The following is a 25,691-nucleotide window of genomic DNA, read 5'->3' on the forward strand; positions in this document are numbered from 1 at the left end:
TTATTTGGGGGTAAACCTAAGCTAAGAAAATGTTAATTTTTGATTAATTTATTTGAGAATATATGGATGCTTTCTGAGGTTGGAAGCATGATTTCTAGTTTTCCTGATACATCCCAGGTTTTCCTAGAATGACCTCCCCGTGAAGTTTTCAGCATCTTTAAAATGCTGTCCAGAAGTAGCGTCAGCCCTTGGGGCCCACAGCAGACCATGGGTCTGTGTATGCCAGTAACTTACGGAAACAATATTATAAAATGTCATTTATTATTTCTCACAATCATAATGGAGTAATTGTTTGCTCAATGTGTTGATTCACATCTGTGTCTGCCTCTGGACTGTCATACACACGAGGGCAGGCAGGCTTCGTCTGTCAGGTTGACCTCTACATCCCCTGAGCTATGCACAGTGTTTTCCACATGATCCAGTCAATATTTTTAAACTGAAAGCCAACATATTTTACTAACTTTATAGTTGTCCAATGAGGATAATTAATATGAATTCAAGTCACAATATGTCCATTGATTTTTCTACTAAAAATAAAGGCTTTTAAAAGTGAGGAAAATAATCTCTTATATACAGTCACATTAACCCTATGAGAAATTAGGATAGATTTTATTTTCTATGTGTTATAAATAAGGCACTGAGATGCCAGGAAATAAATACAAACAATTACATAGGAGGGTGGAAAAGTAACTTAGTATCAGCACATGTAGGTTCTCTTTCCAACTTTCACCATTTACTTTGAGCAAGTCACTTAATGTTGGTGTCTTTGTTAGAGACATTATCAGGAACAAGAATACTTCCAAGTTCCTTTCTAATTAAACTACCCTCTTCTATAGAGCACTCTCCTAAGAGATATTCAGAGAAAGAAAAAAGTCAAAGTGTGCCTGGTGTCTGCAGGACATTGTATTTGGCCTCATGGAGTAGAATCTGATTGTAGGACTGTAAGCACATGGAGAGTTATTTTCTCACAAAACCCAAGTCCTGGGGCAGAAACCCAGCTGGCCCAGTTGCTCACCCATAAGCCAGGCATTTACTGCCATGTCCTTAGACAGAGACCCTTATCCTCTTGGTTAAAAGTGGCTACTCCACTTCCAAGCTTCAGGAATAAGTTATGGATGGAAAGAGAAACTAGAAAAGGCTCTTCCTAGTTGGGTTTTCCACTTTAATCAATATCACAGAAGCTTTTCTGAAAACTGTATCCCAAAAACTTCCACTTGAATCTCATTGGTCTAAACTGGTTATATGGTCACCTCTGGCTAAAGGGAGTATGGATTTGTAAGTGTGTCTTAGCAGACATAGTAGCCTCTTGAACAAAAGTGTGGTTTTCTACCAAAGGAAAAAGGGTAGAATAGATGTTAGCTGGGCAGCCAACAGTTTACCACAAACCATACAGTGATGGAGTTCTTTTAGTGAAGAATTTTTCAAATTTACTTTGAGAGTCCACACCTATGTGCCCCAAGGATCCATACAAAAACAGTTCATAGATGGATTACTGGTAATAAGGAAATCTGGAAACAATTTAACAGGCCAGAAGTACTCTGACAATTTCTCTTTATAAGAAAAAAACTGTAGTATACTTCATGAAAAAAAGATGCAAAATATTAGCCAATCAAATACAGTAATATATCAAAAGAATATTACCACAAACAAGTGGGTTTATTGCAGGAATGCAAGGTTGGTTTAACATTTTTAAAAATCAATCAAACTGAAAAGAACCAAAAAAGAAAAAGGAAGAAAATCAATCAATGTAATTTACCATATTAACCATCTAAAGAAGACAACCACGTGATCACATCAATTGATAGAGAAAATCACAGAGCTCTCCACAGAAAATACATGACCTGTGGGATGCCGAACCCAGGACCTAGAAGGCTGACTTTTTGACTTTTTATGTTTGAGATTCTGTGGTGCTGACTGTGAGATTTGAGCATTGTCAGATTTTGATATCCATGGAGGCCCTGAAACCAATACCCCAAAAATACTGAGGGACAACAGTTCTGGACAAAACTCCACATCCATTTACAACTTAAAAAGAAAAAAAAAAAAAGCTTCTAGCGGACTAGAAATAGAAAAGAATGTCTGCTAAAGGACACCAACCCAAAACAAAAGAAAACAAAACACACCAAAAATATCAAAAAGAATGAAACTTTAGCTAATATTGCACTTCATAAGGAAAGACTGAATACTTTCCCCCTAAAGAGCAGCAACAGGGCAAGGATGTTCTATCTCAATGCTCTTCAACATCACACTGAAAGTCTTACACAGCCCAAAGTGGTAAGGAAAAGAAATATAAGGCATACAGAGTGAAAAGGAGGAAATAAAATTATACTTATTTGCAGATGATGTGATTTGAAGCTGGGAATATTTTCTTCAAAATGGACAGGTACAATATATAAAAATATATTCTTAAGGAAAAATGGGAACTTTACTCCCCTGGAAGTCATCTTTTAGAATTTATTTTAAGTCTTTCTTATGTTATTATATGAAGGTCTGTATCTTATGTAAATGACAATATGCTAACCCAATATATATTTTTTTATATTGTGCAATAATAGATATTTGGATTGATTCTAATTTTTGTACCACTACAAACAGTTACTGCAAGTTATATATTCTCTTTTGTGCAGTTGTACAAGAGTTTCTATAGAATCATCCCTAGAATTGGAATAGACAAAATAGTTCAGTTATGAACATTTTAAGTTGTATTAGATTATTCCTCAAATTACTCTTTTAACCTCTTGTACTAATTTGCATACCTGCCAAGAGTATATGAGGGTGTCTGTTTCCCCAAACCCACAATAAAGAATGATCAAACTTACAGATTACTATTTACCTTTTCAGCTAAAAATATCTCATTTGTAAGACTTGGATTTTGTGAGGTTTGGCATGTTTATGTTGTGTATTTTTATTTCTTGTTTTCTATGCCTGCTCATATCACTTGCTCATTCTTCTGTTGGAGGTTTTATCACAGAGTTTTAAAACCTCTTTGCATATCAAATAGTAATTGTTCCCTATCATGTTTCAATATTTGTTTCTAGTTTGCCTTTTGTATTTTGACATTGTGGTGATTTTGTAATGGAATTTAAATTTTTGGTTGAGTCTAATCAATCGCTTCTTTTATGACTTCAAATTTTGACGTTCTTCTTTAAGTTGTCTTTTCCTTACTCAGATATGTTTTCCAAAAACAACTGTGACTGCCTATGTTAATGGTCTGCACAATCTTTGCATGAGCACACCTGGAAAACCCTCAGTTTCCCTGACATTAGTACAATTATCTCCAGGACCTGGAGCACAAAATCAGCAAATTGAGTTGGTTAGCTTAATATATTTTTTTTGTTTTCAGTTTAGAGTGCTGGCTTGCATGTTATTTTTACCACAAGGGCTTACTGCTCCTCCCAGGGAGTCTAGACTTGACCCAAGCTCAGTTTAAGACCCCCAGAGTAGATGAGAAAGTGGATATTTCCACAATTTAAGCTGACAGAACTATTAGACTATAATATCAACAGATCAAGTAAGCAGAAGGCATTCTTATTGTACTCGTACACTATCTCACTTATGATCTTTGTCTCTGCTCTACAAAGCCCATTTAATAGACTTTTTATCACTTGGAGACCATTTCATCTCTTGGTATAGAATTCCACAGCCTCTGAAGCAGCCAAGGATAGCAAGTGCAAAAACACAACTTCTTTTGCGTATGGCTATAGGTTGTGTGTCTTGTGTGTGTATACATATATGGTATGTGTGTGTATATGTATGTATGGTATCTACATATGTGTGTTTGTATATTATTTGCCCTTCTCTTATTTTCTGTGAGCTTTTAATTGTGAAAAGATCCTTGATAAGGCCTTTGTTCATCAGAGAACAGAATAATTTGGGCAGGAATAATTGAATCATTGACCACCATCAAACAAAACTTCCGTTATGTACCATAGGGAAATTTTGGTTTTGGTTTCTTTGTAGTAGCATAATCATAGTCCAGCTTCTCAAAAGTCAACCTGCAGCTGCTTGTGCTCACACATAGCACTGGGAGTCTATCTCAGCCACCATGGCTTTAAAGAACCCTGCAGGAAAGGAACTTAAAGTTCAAAGGTCAAAGTGTCCAGATTCTAAACAGAGTTAAGGTTTTCTTTCTGCTTCAGCCTAGCAGGGGTGTATTTCCCATGAGAGGTTTGTTTTTTTAACAATGGTCATTGTAACTGATCATCTAATAAAGAATTTGTAACATCTCCCCAGGAAGTGTTAATTTAGTGCAAATGATTGTGTTCTAAATGGGTGGACCGCAGTACAAACTTCTCCCCCTTCTCCCATTCTTCAAGAAGAAACACAGTAGGATTCAGGGAAAAAATAATAATTTGTGATGAGCATTTCCCACATGAAAACACTTTTTAGTTGTTATTTTTAAAGTCACAAGCTTTCAAGAGGAAGGACTTGTTTTTCTTAGGAAAGATTAACAGTAAGATGCCAGGCCTATGATGGCCAAAGAGAACATTCTCTGGGATTACATCGTTGCTTCTTAACATTCAGGGATGCAGGGAACTTCCCAGCATTTATTTGGAAAACAGTGTAAAAGCTAAGAAATTAAAGTTGTTTGAGCTATATTAGAAAATCATTTATTTAAAGGAGGGAAACCATTGCAAATGAATGATATTGTTATTTTGATCCTTAGGAAGACAATTAATTATCAACAACAAGGAAATGTGAATTTTTAAAAAGGCTGTATGCCCAATTAGTTTGAACCTAATTTAATTTGTAGCTTAAAACTAGAGCTACTAGTGAATTTAATGGTGGTTCTACCCACTGATGAATGACTGGGAATGCCAAACACATTCCGTTAGCTGTGATAACTCTGGGTTAGGACCTTGGATTAATGGGAATAATTTTAGTTTATCCTTTATCTATTCAGAATCTAGAGCGTAATCCTGTATACATTCACATGGTTTAGCATGTAATTAAAACAAGTACATATTAATCCTCTTATACTAAATGTTTTCCATAAATAGGCAATGATAGCAGGCTGAAATGTACATGAGCAAGATCTGAATATCTTTCAAAGAGTTAAGCAAATGGCAGATGACAACCTTGAAACATGGTGGGGAAAAGTCCTTTCCACTTTCTGTGACTATCGGTGCGTGTCACATTAGAGATTATTTTATTTAAGAAGCTTTCTTGCATGTTACCAGGATTGTCTGAATTCTAAGGCATTCGTCTCACTAAACGCTGTGACTGTCTTTGGGCAGGGCGGCAAATGGACTGGTCAGTAGAAAATAATGCAGATACAGTAAGGGTCTCTGGCTGTCTCTTCTGATTGACATCCAAAACCGAAGTTATTTTCCTTCCAAGGCATAGTATTCTGAAGCTCAAAGGTGGGTGTTTATGACAACCATCCATCAGAGACCTCTTTTCTACTCTGTGCCAAACCGTGTAGCCTGTCATCTCCGGAGGGGTCACCTGGAGACCTAGGTTCTTCAGGCCCCTCCCAGAGAGGTGAAGGTCAACAACAAGGACAATTTCTGAAAAGGGGGGACCGCTCCCTTGGATTTTCCCCACCTACACATTCCTTCTATCAGCAACGGCGACTCACCCTGCAGAGCCTGCCCCACAAACTCATGCACACACAGCTGGTTTTTACGTGGAAAGTCAGTGTTCATGATCCAGTTGCAGCAAGGGCAAAAAAGATCTTTGGTATTTTCTCAAGCCACCAATTGAGAGTCGACTCAATACAGGGAAAAAGAAAAAGAAAACCTGAAAAGAGAGCATGTGGGCTCTTAGAGGAAGAATTCCGGATGACAGAAGCTCTGCTAAGAATGGGCTTTGAAGGGAATAGCTGTGGGAAGAGTATCTCTCTAAGTCAGGCTGAAGATTTGCCAATCCTCAGGCTTAGAGGAAAGGAAACCGAGCACCGCTGAGAGCTGAGGACTCAAAGCAACTTTTGTTTCTTATCCAGTAATGCCGCTAATGGGTCTTAAGGTTGTCAATTATGGCTTGTTGCAGGTACAATTTCAGAATGTTACTATCGTGTATAAATGAAATAACAGAACTGGTTAATAACAAAACCACAAGCTTTTTGGTAACTGATAAAAATCATACAAAATACTTTAAAAATTGAAATATATTCCTTGCCTACTTCTGCTTACAATTCCAGAAATACTCTCTTTATTCATACCAAAAGATAAGAAATCAACTTTCATCTTAATGATTTTAAGTATAATTAATGATTTTAAAGTATAATTCTTAAAGGTCCAATAACTTTGTTCAGAAAAAGATGATAATAGCAATAAATATATTAGTTATTCTTACTGTAAAAAAAAAATACTTCTGATTGTGATCACAACTATTCTAACTTGTGATTTTTAAAAGATATTTTAAAGCTATACTTCATTGTTAAACATGTTAAATTTGTATCTGTTTCATAGTATATATTAATTTAATTGATAAAAAATATTTCACATTATCTCAGCTACATAAGTGACAGAAAAATGTAAGCAAGCTGCCGCAAACAACCTGAGTGTACTAAAAAACAAAATTTCCCACCAGATTCTCAAATATCTCCTGCCATGAAAGGACAGCTGTGTTAGTCTGAAGATTCTGTTGGGCCAGGAACAATAAGCCACAAGCACTGCAGGAAGCCAGTAGATTTCGAGATCTCTCTTCTTGGTCTTTCCTGCCTTACCCTCCCTGGAGCTGCCCTTTTGTTTCTCACCCTCAAATCACAGCCTCTTATTATTATCCTCTTTTTCCTTAAAAAAGTAAATCAAGATCTTATTATATACCTGTGAAACCCATTTGTCAAAAAAAAAAAAATAGAGAGGGTCATCTATTCTCCCACGTGCCATGAAGAACCGCCATATGCCTTATAAATGGCCAGTGTCAAGGTGCAGACGGCAGGTGGACATAAATTTCCCAGCCAATGGGCTTGGAAAAACAACAGGGTGCTTTCCATGTAATCTGCACCAGCACCAACACTGCTAGCTTGTCGTGCGTTTTGGTGCTAGAAAATCATACAGTGGCACCCACACTTGCCAGTGGGGTATCCTTTTCCCCAGTCTGCCTATTTTTGAGGTGTTATATTTCTTGACAATACCAAATCAATAAACCTAATTTGCAGCAACATACCACATTACAGCATTTTATATCACACTTCCAAGAAGCAGCAGTCTAAAATCTTGACAATTTAAACCACATACCAACTCCTGACATTTAGATCTTTTCCAGTAAAAAATATAATACATTTTTTATATAGAATATAGCTTCTGTCTTCCCTGCTTCTGGCAATAGCAACAGCACCTCAAATGGTCCTTTAGACTTAAGATGCTGTAGCTCACACCTTAGGTCCTTTCTTCTTCTGTGTACCTCTTTCTTATCGGGCACCAAGTGTGATGACTTCTTCAGAATGTCTTCCATTCCACTTCCAGTGGCTTTATCTTTCTCCAGTGATCAGTCATTTCAGACCCAGATTATCAATCCTTTTCTTATTTTCCTTACTACCTCTCATCTCCACTAACTCTAATTCGTTCTACTTAAACAGCACCTGATTGGTCTTCAAAAAATCGTAATGTTTTATTTCACTCACCCAAAGCTTTCAAAGGTTGATTCCCACTGTTTGAAATTGGCTTTCCCATTCCTCCAGCCTCTCTAGTCCAGGTTTTCAAGAGGCTCTCTCACCTCTCTACAGTGCACTGAGAGACCGGACTACTCATATACCCTCAAACACACTGCACAGAGGCCTCACACCACGCTTTCTTCATCTACTGCTCTGATGGGAAGATGCTTCCGATCACTCTGTACTTATCAAAGTCGTACGAGTCCTCCCAGTCTCATCTCAAATGCAGCCTCCTCCATAAAGCTCCCACATATTCCTGCCTGCAAGGATTCCTCTCTCCTCTGAATGTCTCTGTCTACTTACTCTCTAGATTTAATCTGTGCATTCCAATGCATCCTTTCTATATGTTTATTATCCATTCATAGACATACACATACAAATATAGATGCATCAGAATCCATATAAATATGTACACATATATTTTCTTTATGTAATTGCTATCATAATAAATATTGTTATGTGACTTGCCCCTTTCTATGCTACCATATATGTGGGAGATCTGACCATGGGACACCTGGAGGATAATGGGTGCTTATTTCTTTTCTGTACATCTGTATTTTTCAATTTTTCTTGTATTTTACATTTTAATCTATTTATTTACTTATTTATTTTGAGATCAGGTTATGAAACTGGCTACTTTTTGTATTTTGGGTAGAGACAAGGTTTCACCATGTTGCCAAGACTGGTCTTGAACTCCTGGGCTAAAGGGATCCAGCCACCCTCGGCCCTGCAAAGTGCTAGGATTATAGGCATGAGCCACTGCGCCTGGCCCAAATTTTCAACAATAATCACATACAGACTTTGTAATGGTGCATGCAAAAAATGTCATTTGCAGACCATAAAAACAAGCAGATAGAGAAGATGTCAACATAAGGGATCATGTTCTCGACTTTCTGTCTAGTAGGGAAAAAAAGATCATTTTTCACACTTATAAAAATAGATAATGGAGAGCACAAATAGCTTATCCACAACGATAATCATGTTTTTGTTTAAAATATACTTAAGGGCCTACTAGGCTCAAAGGACTCTGATGCTCAAGCGCAAAAATGAATCAGCACCAATCCCCCCATCAGAGTGGCAGTTTCTACAAGTTCGCAGTAGGGCTCTTATGCATATTGTGTTTCTTTCCTTGAAGCTCCCCTTACAAAGAAAAGACATCTTTTCAAAGAATTTCATTTGACAGCAAGGCCAACCTATTAACCATGATGTTATAGACAAGAGTCTATTGTTATGCAACGTATTTAATTGCTTGATTTTAATATTTAAAAAATGCTATTTTAGGTGCTTTTGAACTTTCAAAGCACTTTCATAACTATTACCCCATGTTACATTCTCAATAGCCCTTGTGGTAAGTTAGGCATCCTCCTCCTGCAGACAGGAAACAGACCCAGGCGGCCACGTGCCCTTGCCTTAACTCACCCAGCTAGCAAGACAGCAAAGGAGATGTCCCGGCTTCTAATTGTATGCCTTTCCCCTGAACCAAGCCAAGGAATGAACCTTATTTTTTGACAAGAAAGATTTAGTCCTGGTCCCAGAACGAATTTTAACAATAGAACTGTGTTATAAATAAGTTGCATGGTGAGAGCCTGGTGTACAGTGAACTCTATTTTATAGCCAAGACCATGTGGCACACACTGAGCATTCCAGTCCATCTTTTCCATGACTAACCTGGGTAACTATGAACCAGGAAAGAGATTTGTTCAAGCACATTCCACTTGACAAGCACAAATAAATTTACTCAATTGCCTATATTCTAAAACTATCCGAGTAACAACACCATCACAGAAATAAAAGACATCAAGTTGGTGACAAACCTGTAAGTTCAGGCACATGTAATGTCCAAAAAAATACTGATTTTCCTGTCTGACCGAATGCTGGGAATGAGTGGGGGTAGGGGACACTCACACAAAAAGGACCATCTGTTACTTATTTAAGCCATCCTTAGACAAGAATATATTACTTTTCAGAGAGAAAAATATTGTTCTTTCCAGAGGAATAGGAATGTGATATAAACAATGAGATGAGATAAAGCTGTTTATATCAAAGGGTGAATCAGATTATAACACTGAAAAATAGTACACATTTCCTGTTATTGCTGCTATAAGTAAAACAGTATTTGAAAGACAAATTACCATGTTACTATTCTTGAAAATCCCAGGCTCTCCTATAAGTAATGACATTTTGGTACACATGAGACTAATCAAGTACAGACATATCTCTATCCACATAATTTAAGGAGGAAAAAAATCAATCTTTTCTCCTTCAAGAAAGAGAAGAGTTTCTTTTCTTTAAAACTTAAAGAACCAAGAAAAGTTTATATTTAAGACAAACAAAAACTGCAAATAGCGCAGGGAAGATATGAGTGGCAAGCATGCTCCCAGCGGGACTGAAGTGCAGCCTAGTTCTAGAGGCAATGTTCTGGGTCATAAACAGCAGGCAGGAAACAGACGGTCCCCAGACTTGAAGTGCTTGCAGCAGTTCACAAGCCCCGAGGGACCTCTGCAACCACGGCTTCAGTGACATGGAGGGCAAGGAGGAGTCACAGCCTCACCTGTGGCAGGTGGCAAAGCAGCTTTCTAGTGTGAATCTCACACACACACACATAAACATGCACACACACAGTTGGCCTTCCTTACCCATCCTGCCACCAGTTCTCGCATGTGGACCTGTGTACCTATGGAAGCCACCCTGGGTCCCAGCATGAACAGACACCAGGCACTGTCTCAGCAAGAGTCAAGAACAGGTCCCTGCTCACCTGATCTCACCTCTTAGCAACTCTCATTTTCCGAAAGAGAGAGGCAATGGCAGCTACAAGTCTGGGACATCTGCTCTTCTCTAAATCCAGTGAGAAGCTGATCAGGGGCATCTGCTCTTCTCTAAATCCAGTGAGAAGCTGATCAGAGCCCCCTTCTCACCTGCTGACAACCAGGGTAGCATGTGTGTCCCCACACTCAGAATGACAAGCAAGCAGCCAAAGCCACCTTGAATGACAGCCAAACACAGAGCCTACCCACTAACCACTGTCCCCATGTGCCCTAGGCAGAGGGGCTTCCCAGGACAAAGGGACTTCCAGGGCTAACACAGGAAAGTCCCAGGCAAACCGGGGCTGTTAGTCACCCTTTGAGGGTGTTCTCTGGGCCACGGCTCCTTATGTCTGCTCACCTGTAGGCCCTGCCCCAGGAGGCTGCTTTAGGAAGCCCTGGGCCGTCAGGGTCTGATCTGCTTTTCTTTGAAAGTCCTTAACCTCTCCCTGTGTAAGTGAAGAGTGGTTTGAATGGTTATAGTTGCTTTGCGTACATCTTAAATAAGAAAAGTCCATTCATGTGGTCTAGAAAGGAAGCAATAATTCTCTTTTCTGGCTGGATTTTGGTTTCTGGTTTTTTTTTTTTTTCATTGGAGACAGAGTCTCACTGTGTTCCCCAGGCTGGAGTGCAATGATGCAATCATAGCTTACTGCAGCTTCTACCTCTGGAGCTCAAGCAATCCTCCAGCCTCAGCTGACCAAGTAGCTGGGATTTCAGGCACATGTCACCACAGCAAGCTAATTTTTACATTTTTGTAAAGACAGGGTCTCACTCTTCTGCCCAGGCTGCTCTTGAACTCATGGGCTCAAGTGATTCTGCCATGTCAGCCTCCCAAGTGCTGGGATTACAGGCTTGAGGCACCATGCCTGGCCTAGGAATAGGTCTTAATCAGTGCTTCTCATTTGGCCACGTCTGGAGACCCCTCTGGTTGTCACTGTGGGAGAAGCGGTGCTCATGACATCTCCCGGGTAGAGCCAGGGTGCCGCTGTGCCTCGCACAGTGCCCGGGGCAGCCCGCACGGCACAGCATTACCTGGCCCAGAATGTCCATTGCACTGAGGTTGAGAGACCCTGGTCTATGTTAATCCTGGGACAGGATCAGCAACAAGCTAAGGAGGAGTCGGCTGAGAGGCTCATTCGGGGACCAGAGGTCTCCCTAAGGGCCCCTCAGCTGACACACTTCCCCAGCACCTCTTTGTGGCAGGGCAGGCCAGCTTTCCCAAAATGAGCTATGCGGGTGAGGCTTCTCCTTGGACTTTCCTCCTTCTTCTCCATTCTTCTTCCTTTCCAGCAGGCCGGACCCCAGCGCTCGCCTCTCCATGCCAGGACGCTATGTGCCTCGGTGAGTCCCTGTGCGCGCATAGCAGAGGCGCTCTCCCTTTCCACGGGGTACTGCTTTCCCTGGGAGACGCGAAGAGGAGAGGAGGGCCCGAGTTCAAGCAGGGAGGGAATTCAGAGAGCAGTCATTCACCAAGTCCCCTCCAGCCCCAGCCCTGTGAGCCAGTCCTGCGGGTCCTGCCTTTCGCTAAGAGATTCCCGATTCCGCTCCCTCCGGACGCAGGGAGGTTGAGCAGGGGACACGCAGCCTTCGCCCTTCCCAGTTTTCTCTGTGTGGCCTCTGTCTCTCTCTCTCTGTCTTCAGGAACCAACAAAAGGCAAATGAATTCATTAGGGAGACCAACACCCGCCATGTGCCTTTCTTTTTTTTTTTGAGATGGAGTCTCGCTCTTTCACCCAGCCTGGAGAGCAGTGGCGCGATCTCGGCTCACTGCAAGCTCCGCCTCCCGGGTTCACGCCATTCTCCTGCCTCGGCCTCCCGAGCAGCTGGGACTACAGGCGCCCGCTACCACACCTGACTAATTTTTTGTATTTTTAGTAGAGACAGGGTTTCACCGTGTTGGCCAGGATGGTCTCGATCTCCTGACCTCGTGATCCGCCCGCCTCGGCTTCCCAAAGTGCTGGGATTCCAAGCGTGAGCCACCGCGCCCAGCCATATTTGCCTTTCCTTTTTTGCTTTTTCAGATGGGGTCTCACTCTGTCAATCAGGCTGGAGTGCGGTGGCCCGATCTCAGCTCAGTGCAACCTCTGCCTCCCAGGTTCAAGCGATTCTCCTGTCTCAGTCTCCTGAGTAGCTGGAATAACAGGCATGAGCCACCAAACCCGGCTAATTTTTGTAGAGAGGGGTTTAGCCATGTTAGCCAGGCTGGTCTCGAACTCCTGGCCTCAAGTGATCCACCCACCTCCGTCTCCCAAAGTGCTGGGATTACAAATATGAGCCCCTGTGCCCGGCTGCATTTGCTTTTCTTTAAGGCCGTTATTTAGGACTCAAGAGAGGGACGTCAGGAGAAAAGGTGAGGGAATTGCGGGCGAGAGTGGAGAAGAGGGTAGGCAAGGTTTGGAGAAGTTGCTTTGTTCAACAGTCACCAGCCTAAGCAGCACATCAGTGCTTTCAAGTTAAAGGTAGGAAATGGAAGATAATGTATCCTGTTGAATCTATAGGGATAATTCAGAGATAATTAAAAATATAATGACCCAAATTGGGACTGAGGAAACACGTTGGCATTAACCTCCTTGCCCGGAGAGAAGGTGCCGGGAGAGCTCGCGGTAGGTTTGCCACTTATTTAAGACTCCATCTCCACTTGTTCCTAACCCACTGAGAAATCGGCTCATTATTGACTCAGAGGGATGAACGCCAGATCCTGACTCACCGGTAACCACTTCCTGCAGAAATCCTCCAGCCCTGTTAGAAATGCCTCAGCCAGGGGGACTCATCTCCTCAAACCTGGGGGACCGAGACCTATGAGAGGTCACAGCATGAGGTGACGGAAGTGCCATGTGCACAGGGTTGATTTGGTGGCTCTAATTCTTATAACATAAAAGCTTGCTTCTTAGCATAGTTCTTGCAGTGTTAATTTTAGAGACACATAACGGAGAGGAGTAGGGAAATAAAGACCTGTCTGGTCCTTCCCCACTTCCCTAATCCATCTGTCTCCCTTGCTATGTCTCTAAACCTTCTCCAGCCAGGACATCGGAGGTACCCAGACATTGTTATGAAACTCCGCATGTGCCCCTGGTGGACGCTGCTGGACCCAGCATGCACACTTCTCGGCTAAGAGTCACCCTGGATGAACCACCATTGCCAGCGGGGAGCATGTTGCAGCTTTCCCACGCAGTGGATGAGAACGAAGGTTACGACCATTGTGTGGGAGGCGTCTGTGTAGCAATTGCTGGAATCACTGTGAGTAGTCCGTGTCACATGTGTCTCCCCTGATCTCTCAACGTCTCTTCTTCCCTCTCCACTCCCACTGTCTAACTTTATTCCTCTTTTTTTTTCTACCCCTTTCCGGAGACAGTGTGGCATTGTAGAAAGACTGAGCGTGGGAAAGAAGACGCATTCTGAAGTCACCCCGATTTATGTTAAATTATCACCTTGACTACTGCTATAGAACGAATGTTTATGTCCCCCACCCAAATTCGTATGCTAAGACCTAATAGCCAATAAGATAGTATTAATAGATGGGGCCTTTGGGAGGTGAGTGGCTCATGAGGGCAGAGTCCTCAAAACCAGATAAGTGCCCGAATAAAAGGGGCCCCAGAGAGATCCCTTGCACCGTCTACCATGTGAAGTGTAGAACACAGCGAGAAGGCCACCTATGAGCCAGAACGTGGGCCCTCACCAGAACCCAGTTGTGCTGGCACCCTGATCCTGGACTTCCAGCCTCCAAAATGACGACAAAGAAGTTTGTTTTTCCTGAGCCATCCACTTCAAAGTATTCTGTCATAGCTCCCCAAATAGACTAAGACATCTACTTAACCTTGGTCAAACGTTTAACCTTGGAGTCCACGCCTCTGAAATGGTGACAATAACACTGTGTATTTCCTACTTTATGATCAGGATTAATAAATGTAATTTATTAATCAGAAATTAGTAATTTCTGATTATTAATTCTATGGTGCTTGATACTTGATTGAGGCTTATTTAATATTTGGATCTCTTTTAATTTTTTTCTTTTTTGCTCTTTCTTTCTGCTTTTCCTCTTCCCCTTTTCCTATTGAAATAGAATGCAGAGGATAAAGCAAGCAAACAAAAAAACTTCCAGAAGAATCACAGAGTTTTAGACCTAGAAAAAAACTGAAAAATCATCCATTCCACTCTCCTCATTTTACAGATGAGGGCATCGAGCCTCAGAGAAATGAAACTTGCCCAAGACCACACAGCAAGTGAGTGGGGGACTCATGACCCAAGACACTTTTTCCAGGCTTCCTTCTACCACATCATGCTGCAGAAAACACAGCAGATGGGAAGAGACGAGGCATGTGGTTGCCATTTCTGTATTACATCCAATTCATATTTCATTTAGAAAATGTATTTCTAGAACTTGTTAAAAAACCTGAATGATTTTGATTGAAGTTTTTCAAAACTAGGATTACTATGCTTCTAATGGAGATCAAGTTCAAATTTTTAACATATTTTGCCTTATTTTGCCACTCCCCTCAAAATATCCATAGTATTGAATGCCCAGGTTTCCTGTTTGGAAAAGCCCGAGGATCTGTGCACACTCTGGGCTACTCTTGCCCAGCTCCTGACTGAGGCACTGGACCTGGCCCGATGCTGCTCTCTGCTGCTGCCCAGCTCTTCTGCTCCACCGGCAACACTGTACCCAGTTAATCATTAGGGCCCTTGTCTCTGTACAATTGCTCTGTACAACTCGATAAAATAATCCATGCTAACAAAAGTCTAGAATGGAAGGTGCCTGCTATGGTTTGAATGTTTGTCCCCTCCCAAATTCATGATGAAATTTAAGCCGTATTAGAAAGTGGGACTTTTGAGAGGTGATAAGGCCATGCAGGGCCCCCCTCATGGGTGGGATTGGTGCTGGTATAAAAGGGTGAGCTTAGCCCCCTGCCTCTCTCACCTCCTCACCTTCTGCCATGTGATGATGCAGCAAGAAGGCTCTCGCCAGATGTCGGCACCTTACTATTGGCCTTCCCAACTTTCGGGACTATGAGCCAATACATTTCTGCTTATTGTAAATTACCTAGTTTCAGCTATTCTGTCATAGCAGCACACAACAGACTAAGACGCTCTTCAACTCACTCCTCACAATCCTGTGTTGTTCTAGGAAAAACTGTGTAATTTAACATTGCCTCTTTAGAGACAACGTCCCTCCTCTATCTCTCAGAAAGAGGCTTTCTCAGTAAAGAGGAGGAGGATGTTGGGTGGGGGAGAGGGTTGGGAGTACTTTGGTTTTTCCCACCGGTATGGCCATGAGATCCCTCTGTTTGCAGCACCTCGGCATCTGCCTGCCTACTCCTGAGTTGGGCCCTGTGGTCATGAATTCTTCTGTCAAATAACTATTCCTAAAAACAAGCATGCATGACTAACCATGAGACAATTGCAGTGATGCAAGTGTATGTGACTTATCTCATCTACCCAGTGTGACAGCTTGACACTCAAGGGGGAGATTTTCACCATCGATTCCCAGAACAAAGAATTTAGAGTAATGCTGGAGGCTGAGGCAGGAGAATGGCGTGAACCCGGGAGGCAGAGCTTGCCATGAGCTGAGATAGCGCCACTGCACTCCAGCCTGGGCGACTGAGGGAGACTCCATCCCCCCCAAAAAAAAGAATTTAGAGTAATGAACATTTATGTATGGGTGGCCCTGTGATGTCTCTGATAACATCCCTTGTTTGGCCAAATTCTCGGACTCTAAAAGACAGTATTGGCTCTGCAGGCTTTCTGGGCTCAGCGAACCTGCAATACCAAAGTTCCACATTTTGGGGAGTACTACCTCATCTGTGTAAGTACAGTTCTGAAAATTATTGTAAAATGTGTTCTACAAATAATGGGGTAATTTATTGCTGTAAATTATCAAACAAGCTAATCAAAATATGCATTCACTTATTCATTTTTTTTCAATCATTCATAACACAGACGTACAAATGATTATCTATGGATTTTTGGAGTTGCAAAAATAGAATCTTAGCTCCACCACTTACCAGTTTAATATTCTGGCCCTAGGAAAGTTACTTAATGATCTGATCCTCAGTACCTATCATCACTTGAAAAAAAATGGGAAAATAATACCAATCTCATAGCTTGGTCATAAAGATTCAGTAAAATAATGCATGCATGTGCCTAAAACCAAACAGTCACAGAATGGAGGTAGGAGCCTTACCGTAGATTCCAACATAATGGTGTCAATCAGCAAAGTTCATCAGATCAAGGCACAGACTGCCAATTATGCATCATGCTGGCATTTGATGCCTAGAAATCCATGTTCCTCTTGCATAAAGCTTTCCTCTTAATCTGTACTTTGTTCCTGTTCAACATTTTGGCATTTTTCTAAGTCCCTCAACCTTAGGGCTCTTCTGCTTTCCCACTTAGTGTTGGATTAATGAACCATTGCTGGTTAAACCACCTCATCCTCTCCTCAGACCCAGTAGAAACAGTAGAACCAGGGGCTGAAGCCATCGTCCCATTGTCTTCAGCACAATGAGTCCTGTGAGCCTAAGCTCCTAGGAAGAGAGTTGCTTTTGGCTGCAAAGGGTGTATAACAGCAGCTGAACCAGGCAGTGCAATATTCATGGGGCTTTTTACTTTGTGGAACTTGAGAGTAAATTTAAAAGACAACTTACTTCTAACTTTCTCATTTTCAAGAAGAAATGAGGCCCAGAAAGGTAGGGGGTTTGCCAGGATGAGACAGCTCTTAAGTGGCTAGATCTATCCCTACTAATGACTCAGATTAAACAGTTGCTTAGGATACCCCAAAGTCATCTCTGCACTTCAAAAGATTAAGTGCTTGTATAGACAATATCACATATTCCACTACAGCAATTTAATGATTTCCTGATGATATATGATAGGTCCCAGATTATCACTAAAAGGTATTTTAAATTTTTACAACTGACACAATTTGGGAGCCAAAAGTAACTCTTGGAATTGGAATCTAGTTAGCACATGTCTGGTTGGAAGCCACAAGGTGACATACTCCAGTGGCTTCCAAACTGTCTGTGCGACTAGCAGTCCCCATGATCGCATGGCTCAGAGATTGAATGAGGAGGCATCAAAGAGTTTGCCCCACATCTATCTTACCCTGAAATCCAATATCTTCTTTTGTGAAATAATATGGTTAAAAATAAATTCAAATAGAACAAAAGGGTAGTAGATTAGTCAAGATTCTCCAGAAAAATAGAACCAATAGGATGTACATGTATATCTATATCTATATATCTGCAGAGAGACGTATTTTAAAGAATTGGCTCGTGGGATTGTGGGGCCTGGAAATCTGAAATCTGCAGAGAAAGCCAGCAGGCTGGAAATTCAGGTAAGCATTGATATTGCAGTCCTGAGTCCAAATCTGAAGGGCAGCCGGCAGGCTGGGAACTCAAGCAGGGTTTTTATGCTGCAGTCTTAAGGCAACATTCCTGGTCTCCAGGAAACCTCAGTGTTTGCTCCTAAGGCCTTCAACTGATAAGAAGGGGCCTAGCTTGTAAAGGGTAATCTGCTTTTCTCGAAGCCAACTGAATGTAATTGTTAATCACATCTAAAAAATACATTCACAGCAATATCTAGACTAGAGTTTGACCAAACAGCTGGGCACCATAGCCTACCCATGACTTTAGTTGACACATGAAATAGCCATCACAGAGTAAACAACGAGAAAGGGACCATATCTCACTCCAGACCCTTTCTTCCTTTCCCCAGAGGTAAGCTCTTTAAGTGGCCAAACCCATCTTTTCAGGGAGGGGCATTGGTTCTATTTGCATCCAAATGTTTATGTGTGTAAAAAAGCACCAGACTTTCTCCATTCTTCACATCTCTGCCGTCTTTACTCTGTGCCAGGCCTTCTGCTCACCACTTTGCATGGATTTCCTCCTGTCAGTCCTTTCAGCCACCCAGACATGCAGTTACTATTCTGTCCCCCCTTTTGCAGATGGGTCAATGGTGAGCAATATTAACATCCTTTCTGTTGAACAAATCTGATGACAAGAAAGGTTCAATCTGCTTTGGAAAAAAACAAATAATTTGAACCATTTTTATTGGGAAATTGGAGGCAAAAACAAGTTCAGAAAAGTTTCAAAGGCATGCTTGATGCCAAATATGATTTAAAGCCCTGTGTTCTAGAACCCTTGAGTGACACCAGAGGGACATATGCCGGGGCCGTGTTTTTATTCAGCTCCCCATATAGACAGCAATTTTCCTTGTTTTAAATTATTTATTATTTTGTGTTCCCAATTAAGCTATAATGTGACAGGCAAGCTATTTTACAAGGCAATAAAGAAAATAATCATGCTCCCCAGCGAGTAAACTGCAAGGCCAAAAGGTGAGTTGTTTATATCAGAGACAGAACCATATTACCACATTGAAAAACAGTAGGCATGGCTTGTTATTGCTGCTACAAGTAAAAATGGCTATAGAACAGAACAAGAGAAACTGGTTCCCAGCCTCCTTAAAAGCACTTATTTTTAGAATAATGACAAAACTGTCTGTGTTTGCATAAGGAGCAAAAATGATTGATAGACGGCCTGAAGGGAGCCAAGTCTTACCCCCAAATTAGGACCGCAGGGACAAGGAGGTGCTGAAAGGGTCAGGAGCAGAAAGATCTCCTGGGGTGGATGAATGGCAGAAAAATCTAACAGTAGGTTAACTTGATTTGAGGGTCCCATCTTCTGAACATGCTGAACACACCATATCTTAAATTCAAATTAGCCTGTCTATGGAAAACGAAAATGATATTATGAGTCCTGCCTTGTCATTATGGTGGTTTATGGGAAGCCCAGATGGCTACATATGGCCACCAGACGGGAGTTGGCCTTCAAAACAAAAACAAAATAAACCAAAAAGCCCTCACCCTCAAATAAAGCCAGAAGAACTCACCTGCTGAGAGGCACCATGCATTTCAGCTGGTAATAGCTGGTGACAAGTGAGCCCAGGGGTAAGACGGGGAAGGAGCTAGAGGAGTGTGTCATCAGAGCTGTTTTCATCTCCCCCTGGTGGGTGGCACAGGGCTGTTTGTTGGCTGTGGGTTCACGTGTCTGGGATATTGCAGGAAGTGGCGAGGAAAGAAGAATGAAGACAAAGAATATGGAGTTTCCATTGATTTAGCCAAGTCCATAACAGAAGAAAAGTGCCTTCCTTCGGAACTTCCAATACAATGTGTGAGAATGGACCTGTTACAACTTGTATTACTCGCAGGGTTCCCCCACTACCAAGAATAGGGGTGGCCTTAGAAGGCACTCTGAAGCAAGAATCAGCAAGTGACTGAATCTATGAGACTCGTATTGATCAGCCTCAAAAGAAATGAGTCCTACCTTCTCGGTCTCTTAAGAAATTCATTCTCTTGAAAAGCAATTCAAAAAGAGCTTTCCCTAATACACATTAGATAAACAATGAGATATCCTCCTAGCTTTCTCTTGGGAAACTTTCACTTTATATCTTTTCAATTTATTCTCATCTTTTTTTTTGTTCCTTCCTTCCCTACTTTTAGGCTTTGTCGTTCAAAAGCTAGCTCGTAGAATTTTTTTAAATCTTTGTATTCATATATCCCTAACTAGAGCATGATCTTTTTCTGGCTGGTGGATCCTCCCCAGAATGTTTGCATGTATTAGGGCTCCAGTGAATAGGTGTTGGTCATGAGGAAGGATGACCAGCTAAGGGAGCTAATGGCTTAGACAGACACTGTAGAATTGCAAGGAATAGAGATGTGCTCAAGATACCTTGGTTGGCGAGGTTTATTGTTGCAGAAACACACTGGGTGGTAGCCAGTCAACCAAGACGGCGGCCATCAATTCCTTACCTTTCTTTGTGTACATGCTGCACCCCATGACCAAAGGTAGGGCCTTTTTTCTCCTCCCTTGTATTTCGACTGGCCTCATACCTTGCTTTCAACAGTGAAATGTAACAGTGGTGAAGTTGGACTTGTTCCAAGCCTAGACTTTAAGCCTTCTGTTTCCTACTTCTTAGAAGCCAGTCACCATGCAAGAAGCCTGCCTACCCAGTAACCAGCTGTGAGAAGTCCAAGCTGGCTACACAAAGGGGGGGACACTGAGGTGCCAGACAGGTGGGTAAGGCCTGCCTGAACCTTCCAGCTCTGCCCAACACTCAGCTGAATGCAGTGAATCAGCCAGCCCAGCTGAGAACACAGTGAGCAGAGGTTCTGATCCTGCCTGGATTCCAGACCCACAGAATCCAGAGAAATCATGTGACTTTAAGCCACTAACTTTTGCAATAGATTAATGTACAACAATAGATAAAACACACAGAAAAGTCAAGAAAATGTTTTTGAAGAAAAGTGATCTCCGTAGGTTAACTGCAGTTGGTTAATACTAATTTATTGTATATTTCAAAATAGCTAGAAGATAATAATTAGAATGTTCCTAGCATAAAGAAAAGACAATTTAAGGTGATGGATATGCCAATTACACTGATTTGATCTTTACACATTATATGAATGTATTCAATTATCACATGTACCCTGAAAATATGTACATCTATTATGTGTAATAAAAATAAATCAAAACTTTTTAAAGAATAAAAAGCGGTCGCACATCTAAACAGGGCTTATGGAGTCTGAGGCTTTCTCTGGGTGTTTATTGCATGTTGGAAAACTCCTAATTCCCTCCCCGTGGGTCACTGAGTAGGTCACGGTCCCTGAACAAGGGTCCAGTTGTTCAGCCACCCTATGGGTCTAAGGCCTGGCCGCTCCTTGGCTTCAGGTCAGCTTCAGGATGGCTGACTTGGGATCACGTGCAAGACCTTGGCTTGGTCACTTGAGGAGAAGGTGGCTGGGCACAAGGTTACATGTTTGGGAAACAACTCCCACAGCTCTGTTAGAATTCAGAGACTGGGATTCATATGTAAATAGCACATTCCCTCTGGGTTATTCCATCTCTTAAGTCTTCTGGGCTGAATGGAGTGCCCGGGGCATTAGAAGTGGCAATGATGAGGCCTTTGAGGTGGGCCAGGGCCCCACTTTCTCACATATTAATGTAAATACCCTCACAGTATGGGGAGGCCGTATGTGGGATCATAGAGAAGAAGGGGAAGGGACAGACAACACAACTCCTGACTCGAACACCACTAAACCTTTCGTGCGCTAAAGAAATGTTTGGCTTTCCCACGATTGGAAGCCTGGCTATTACCATAGAGCATTTTCCTCAGGCTCCGGTACATTTCTGGATTCCATTTGTGAGTCTGGATATGGATGTGAATATTTTTCTGTCACTGGGAAAACAAAATAAGTCCAAGAGAATGACTTGGAATCGCTGCAACTCAAAAGTACTCTGTTTACCAATATGCAGTGCAAATAAGACCCAAGAAACAGCACCTGCTCCTTGCAGCTTCACTTACAACTAGTGCTTTGGGATTGTTGTTTTTTCTTTTTTTACACAGGGTTTCTCCTTGAAGAGGCCGCACTTCCTGGATGCTCTTCATGAGCCTCCTCCCACCTGATGTGCCCTTTTTGCTGTTAAAAGGAGTGTAATCCACCCTCAAAGGCCAACATTTCCTGATGACATATATGGAGAATTAAACGCTATTGCAAGGTGGAAACCTTAACTTTAGATCATTAACATGCTTCAGGACTCTATGCTTGCCAGTAGGCTCTCTCTGGCTAAAAAGTGGGTTCATGGTATTAAATGTCGAATACTCACAATGAACCTGCAAACTATTCATTACAGGAGTCCCACCTCCCCCAGACACTTCTTGAAGTTTAATGTTTCTGGTGAAGAGAACCAGAGATTGGTGATTTCACAGACTTTCCTGGGAAGAAAATAGAAGAAATTCACTCCCACCTCCAGACAATGTGGCTTTTCCCAGATGGAACTTATTGTGCAAAGCTGCACACAAATAAAAGAAACTTTTGGTGAATTTGATTTAATGTTTACAAAGTATATTTATTAAACAGACTTTTTCCTATTGAAAATTTCCACTGTGGTCCTGGAAAAAGATCAAGGTCAGTTCTTACTAAGTAAGCCTATTTGATGCAAGCTTCCACGTCAGTCCACCAAAAACAATTATGAAGCATTCGGCGTGGGAGAAACAGCCCTCGCCCTGCTCAGGACTGTGAACCTGGTGAACTCCGTCCACGGCACCACCCAGTTTCTTTTCTCAGCTCATTTTTTCCCTCTCTGGGGCTTCAATATCTCTTTCATGAAGGGGTCATCCCTATGCCCACTAACAGGCAGCTCCTGTCATGCCAGCACAGCAGTAGATGACAGCACAGCACTCATCTACAACAGACAGCAAATGTAGACTAGGGACTTTTTTTGTTTTTTTTCTAATTATGGAGTGAAAGATTTTTTCCCAGCTAAAAAGAAGGTATTGGGGGTGGAGTTCCCATGCAGCCAACACTACATTATGGAAGCTGTTGCCGAGTCTCCTCACATGAAGGGCAGTCCCAAAATAGAGAATTCTACAAGGTATTCCCCTGAAATGGTGCTTTCCAAACAATGAACCATGAACCCCTTGCAACTTCAGAGCTTGCATCTATTTTCTTAAAGGACACTGAGAATACAGTTCCTATGGAGAGGGAGGGAGTTGAGGTCTTAGACTTTTAATTTTTACATTAAAATAAGAGGTTTTTACTTGAAAATGTTGTGAAGCAGTGCAATTTTTTTAAAAAGAACAGCACGGCCTCATTAAGGAACTGGTAGTCCAATAGAGATATAGGTCAAGTTGACAGAAGAAAAATAATGAAATAAAATATGCAGCACTTGAAAATAATACTGAAAACAGATATTTATATACACATAAACTCTAATATATATACACACACATACATGGACAGAGAGATGGATAGATTTCCTGCATATTTACGGAACTGAATGCAGATAGCGAGGTTAGTTGTGAAGTTCAATGGAGAAGCTGGTGTTTGAATGGATATTTTCAACTTGGTGATATGTCATTTCATTCATTCATTTAACAAAGCATCATCCCTAGCATCACTTACTAGGACTAGGAGGTGTCTCAAGCAAGTAATGACAGCTGCTGCCCTGAAGATAAGTTCAGTCTGTTGTGCGAGCACACACATCCATCTGGTATGATCTACTTTACTTCGGGGGGGGGGGGTACAAATATATTGTAACACTCACATTTCTCAGTTAAACACATCGGCACCCACATGCACTTTTACCCACCAAGTCTAGCATTAGCCCCTCCTGTGCGGTGAGCCTCCAGTCTTGGACCCCGAGGTCACAACATCTCTCTTATTTCACACTCATGCACGCTGTCATTGATCCCCCAAGCATGAATCCAGGTCCAGGTGGCTGGGCCCATGCATAGCTCCAGTTTCAGGCCAAATCGTGACTGGTGATTTTTTAAAATTATGCCAGCTCAGTATCTCCCACCTTCCTGGGGGCCTGCCAGCAGAACTCGTCTGCTCCAGGGTCTCTCACTTAAAAAGAGAGGCTGTCGTAAGGGTCTTCATTTTTTCCCTCCCAAAACATCGTTGTGTTCCTTATGGCAATCCCTGCCTCCTTTTCCAGCATTATAGATTCCCAAGAGAAGAACAGCCTTTGTGAAGACAGAGAAAAAGAAAATGAAAAGATGATTCAGGGAGTCAGCTCCTCTCACTTGCCCAATCAAGGGGTTACTTGCATCACCCCCACAAGGCAAACAGAAGGAAGTCAAATGATGTTTTTCCCATAATTAGGAAGATCTGCTTCACAGTCACCTGCTGCCCACTCCCAGATTTTCAGGAGCTCAGCAATTTTTTTAAATTCCATCTCACCAGAATGCCATGCACACAAATGGCCAAGTCATTGCAATTGTGATAGATGTTGCACACAAAAAGCACAAGGGGATGGGAATGCAGAAAGCAGGGGGAGCTGCACCCCTCTGCTAGTGGGGTGGGAACTACGGGTGCAGAGATGGGTTTTCCATGTGGGAATGAAATCTAGGTTTAGGCCCAGTGGGTGAGGAGATGTTAGCCAGGTAGGCAGAGGAGCAGGGGTGAATGGGAGACTGCAGGGAGAGGGAGCTGGATTGTTCAGAAAACCAAAACACCCAGATAAAATGATGTAAGATCAGGCTGGAGTGTGAGGTCTGGGCCAGAGCCTAGAGATGTGTAGGGACTGACCCAGTGTAGACTGAGGAGTGCATGCACTTGCAGATCCCACGAGGGAAATGTGCAGAGCCCTGGGCCAGCAGAACTTGGAAGCATGGGTTCATGCAGCTGGGACAAGGTCTCTGTTTGCCTCTGGTGGTAGAAATCCAAGAATAGTGTTGGGGGTGACCAGGATTCTGGTTTTCCTAGGACAGTCCGGGCTTATACTTATTGTCATTCCTCTTTTCACTATGGAAAATATTCTGGCTTATGACCCTCGAATGGTTTGTAATAATAATAATTTTATGATGATAATGATAATAATAAACTGCACAGAAAGAGAGAGGAGAAAGAACAAGACAATGAAAAAGCAAACGTTGCAAAACATTAAAAATTGGTGAATCTGGGTTTATTAGTTTTCTTCTGCTGCTATGACGAATTACCACATATGTAGTGGTTTAAAACAAATATATTCTCCTTTTTTTTTTTAATTTTTTTTTTGTTAGGCACAGTTTCACTCTGTTGCCTAAGCTAAAGTACAGTGGCACAATCTTGGCTCACTGCAACCTCCACCTCCTGGGTTCAAGTGATTCTCCCGCATCAGCCTCTAGAGTAGCTGGGACTATAGGCACGTGCCACCGCACTCAGCTAATTTCTGTATTATTAGTAGAGGAAGGGTTTCACCATGTTGACCAGGCTGGTCTCAAACTCCTGACCTCAGATGATCCGTCTGCCTCGGCCTCCCAAAGTGTTGGGATTACAGGCATGAGCCACTGCGCCCAGCCACAGATGTATTCTCTTATGGCTCTTGAGGTAAGAAGTCTGAAGCCGTTTCAGTGGACTAAAGTCAAGGGTCAGCAGGGCTGGACTGCTTTCTGGAGGCATGAAGGTGAGAATCTGTTCTCCTGCCTTTTCAGTGTCGAATGGCTCCAGCATTCCTTGGCTTATGGCCCCTTCCTCCATCTTCCAGGTGCATCTATCTGACCTCAGCCTCTGCGGCCACATTGCCTTCTCCTCATCTGTCACAAATCTCCCTCTGCCACCTGCTGATAACTACATCTAGAGCCCACCCAGGAGATTCTCCCCATCTCAGGATTCTTGGCATGAGCACACTGGCAAAGTCCCTTTAGCTGTGTAAGGTAATACCCAGGAATTAGAACCCGAATATCACTGGGGGCTATTATTCATCTTATGACACTGGGTCAAGGAGATACGTGAGTGCTTCATACTTACCTAGTTT

At 42.2% G+C, this 25,691-nt stretch overlaps 3 long non-coding RNA genes across 4 annotated transcripts in view, besides 4 other annotated features; 2 read left to right on the top strand and 1 right to left on the bottom strand.

Annotated features, from left to right (window-relative positions):
* Positions 1-10,541, bottom strand: part of LOC107984626 (uncharacterized) — a 142,002-nt gene extending 131,461 nt beyond the window's left edge. The window contains exon 1 of the long non-coding RNA XR_001750000.2: positions 10,356-10,541. This is a non-coding gene — a long non-coding RNA (uncharacterized LOC107984626). The remainder of the gene's footprint in view (positions 1-10,355) is intronic.
* Positions 9,398-9,692: a silencer, noted in NCBI's record as "tiled region #6229; HepG2 Repressive non-DNase unmatched - State 24:Quies". NCBI's record gives its function as "represses a minimal TATA promoter and a strong SV40 promoter by Sharpr-MPRA in HepG2 cells {active_cell/tissue: HepG2}" and the evidence as "EXISTENCE:reporter gene assay evidence [ECO:0000049][PMID:27701403]".
* Positions 10,063-10,122: an enhancer, noted in NCBI's record as "active region_7980". NCBI's record gives its function as "activates an Ori minimal core promoter by ATAC-STARR-seq in GM12878 lymphoblastoid cells {active_cell/tissue: GM12878}" and the evidence as "EXISTENCE:reporter gene assay evidence [ECO:0000049][PMID:35858748]".
* Positions 10,523-10,982: an enhancer, noted in NCBI's record as "active region_7981". NCBI's record gives its function as "activates an Ori minimal core promoter by ATAC-STARR-seq in GM12878 lymphoblastoid cells {active_cell/tissue: GM12878}" and the evidence as "EXISTENCE:reporter gene assay evidence [ECO:0000049][PMID:35858748]".
* Positions 12,659-13,858: an enhancer, noted in NCBI's record as "MED14-independent group 3 enhancer chr13:107028450-107029649 (GRCh37/hg19 assembly coordinates)". NCBI's record gives its function as "activates an origin of replication core promoter dependent on BRD2, BRD4, P300/CBP and CDK7 cofactors, and independent of MED14, by STARR-seq in HCT116 cells {active_cell/tissue: HCT116}" and the evidence as "EXISTENCE:reporter gene assay evidence [ECO:0000049][PMID:35650434]".
* LINC00460 (long intergenic non-protein coding RNA 460) lies at positions 13,121-15,152 on the top strand. Of its 2 annotated transcripts, none has more exons than NR_163477.1 (3): positions 13,121-13,222; positions 13,424-13,641; positions 14,465-15,152. It is a non-coding gene; the product is annotated as a long intergenic non-protein coding RNA 460 (long non-coding RNA). The 2 variants fall into 2 exon arrangements; NR_034119.2 differs by lacking the exon at positions 14,465-15,152 and adding an exon at positions 13,757-14,349.
* Positions 15,153-17,643: 2,491 nt separating this feature from the next.
* On the top strand, positions 17,644-20,966 carry LOC124903246 (uncharacterized). The gene is made up of 2 exons (XR_007063939.1): positions 17,644-17,731; positions 19,457-20,966. It is a non-coding gene; the product is annotated as an uncharacterized LOC124903246 (long non-coding RNA).
* Positions 20,967-25,691: the final 4,725 nt, after the last annotated feature.

This window comes from Homo sapiens, chromosome 13 (genome assembly GCF_000001405.40).
Source record: "Homo sapiens chromosome 13, GRCh38.p14 Primary Assembly".
Classification (NCBI taxonomy): Eukaryota; Metazoa; Chordata; class Mammalia; order Primates; family Hominidae; genus Homo; species Homo sapiens.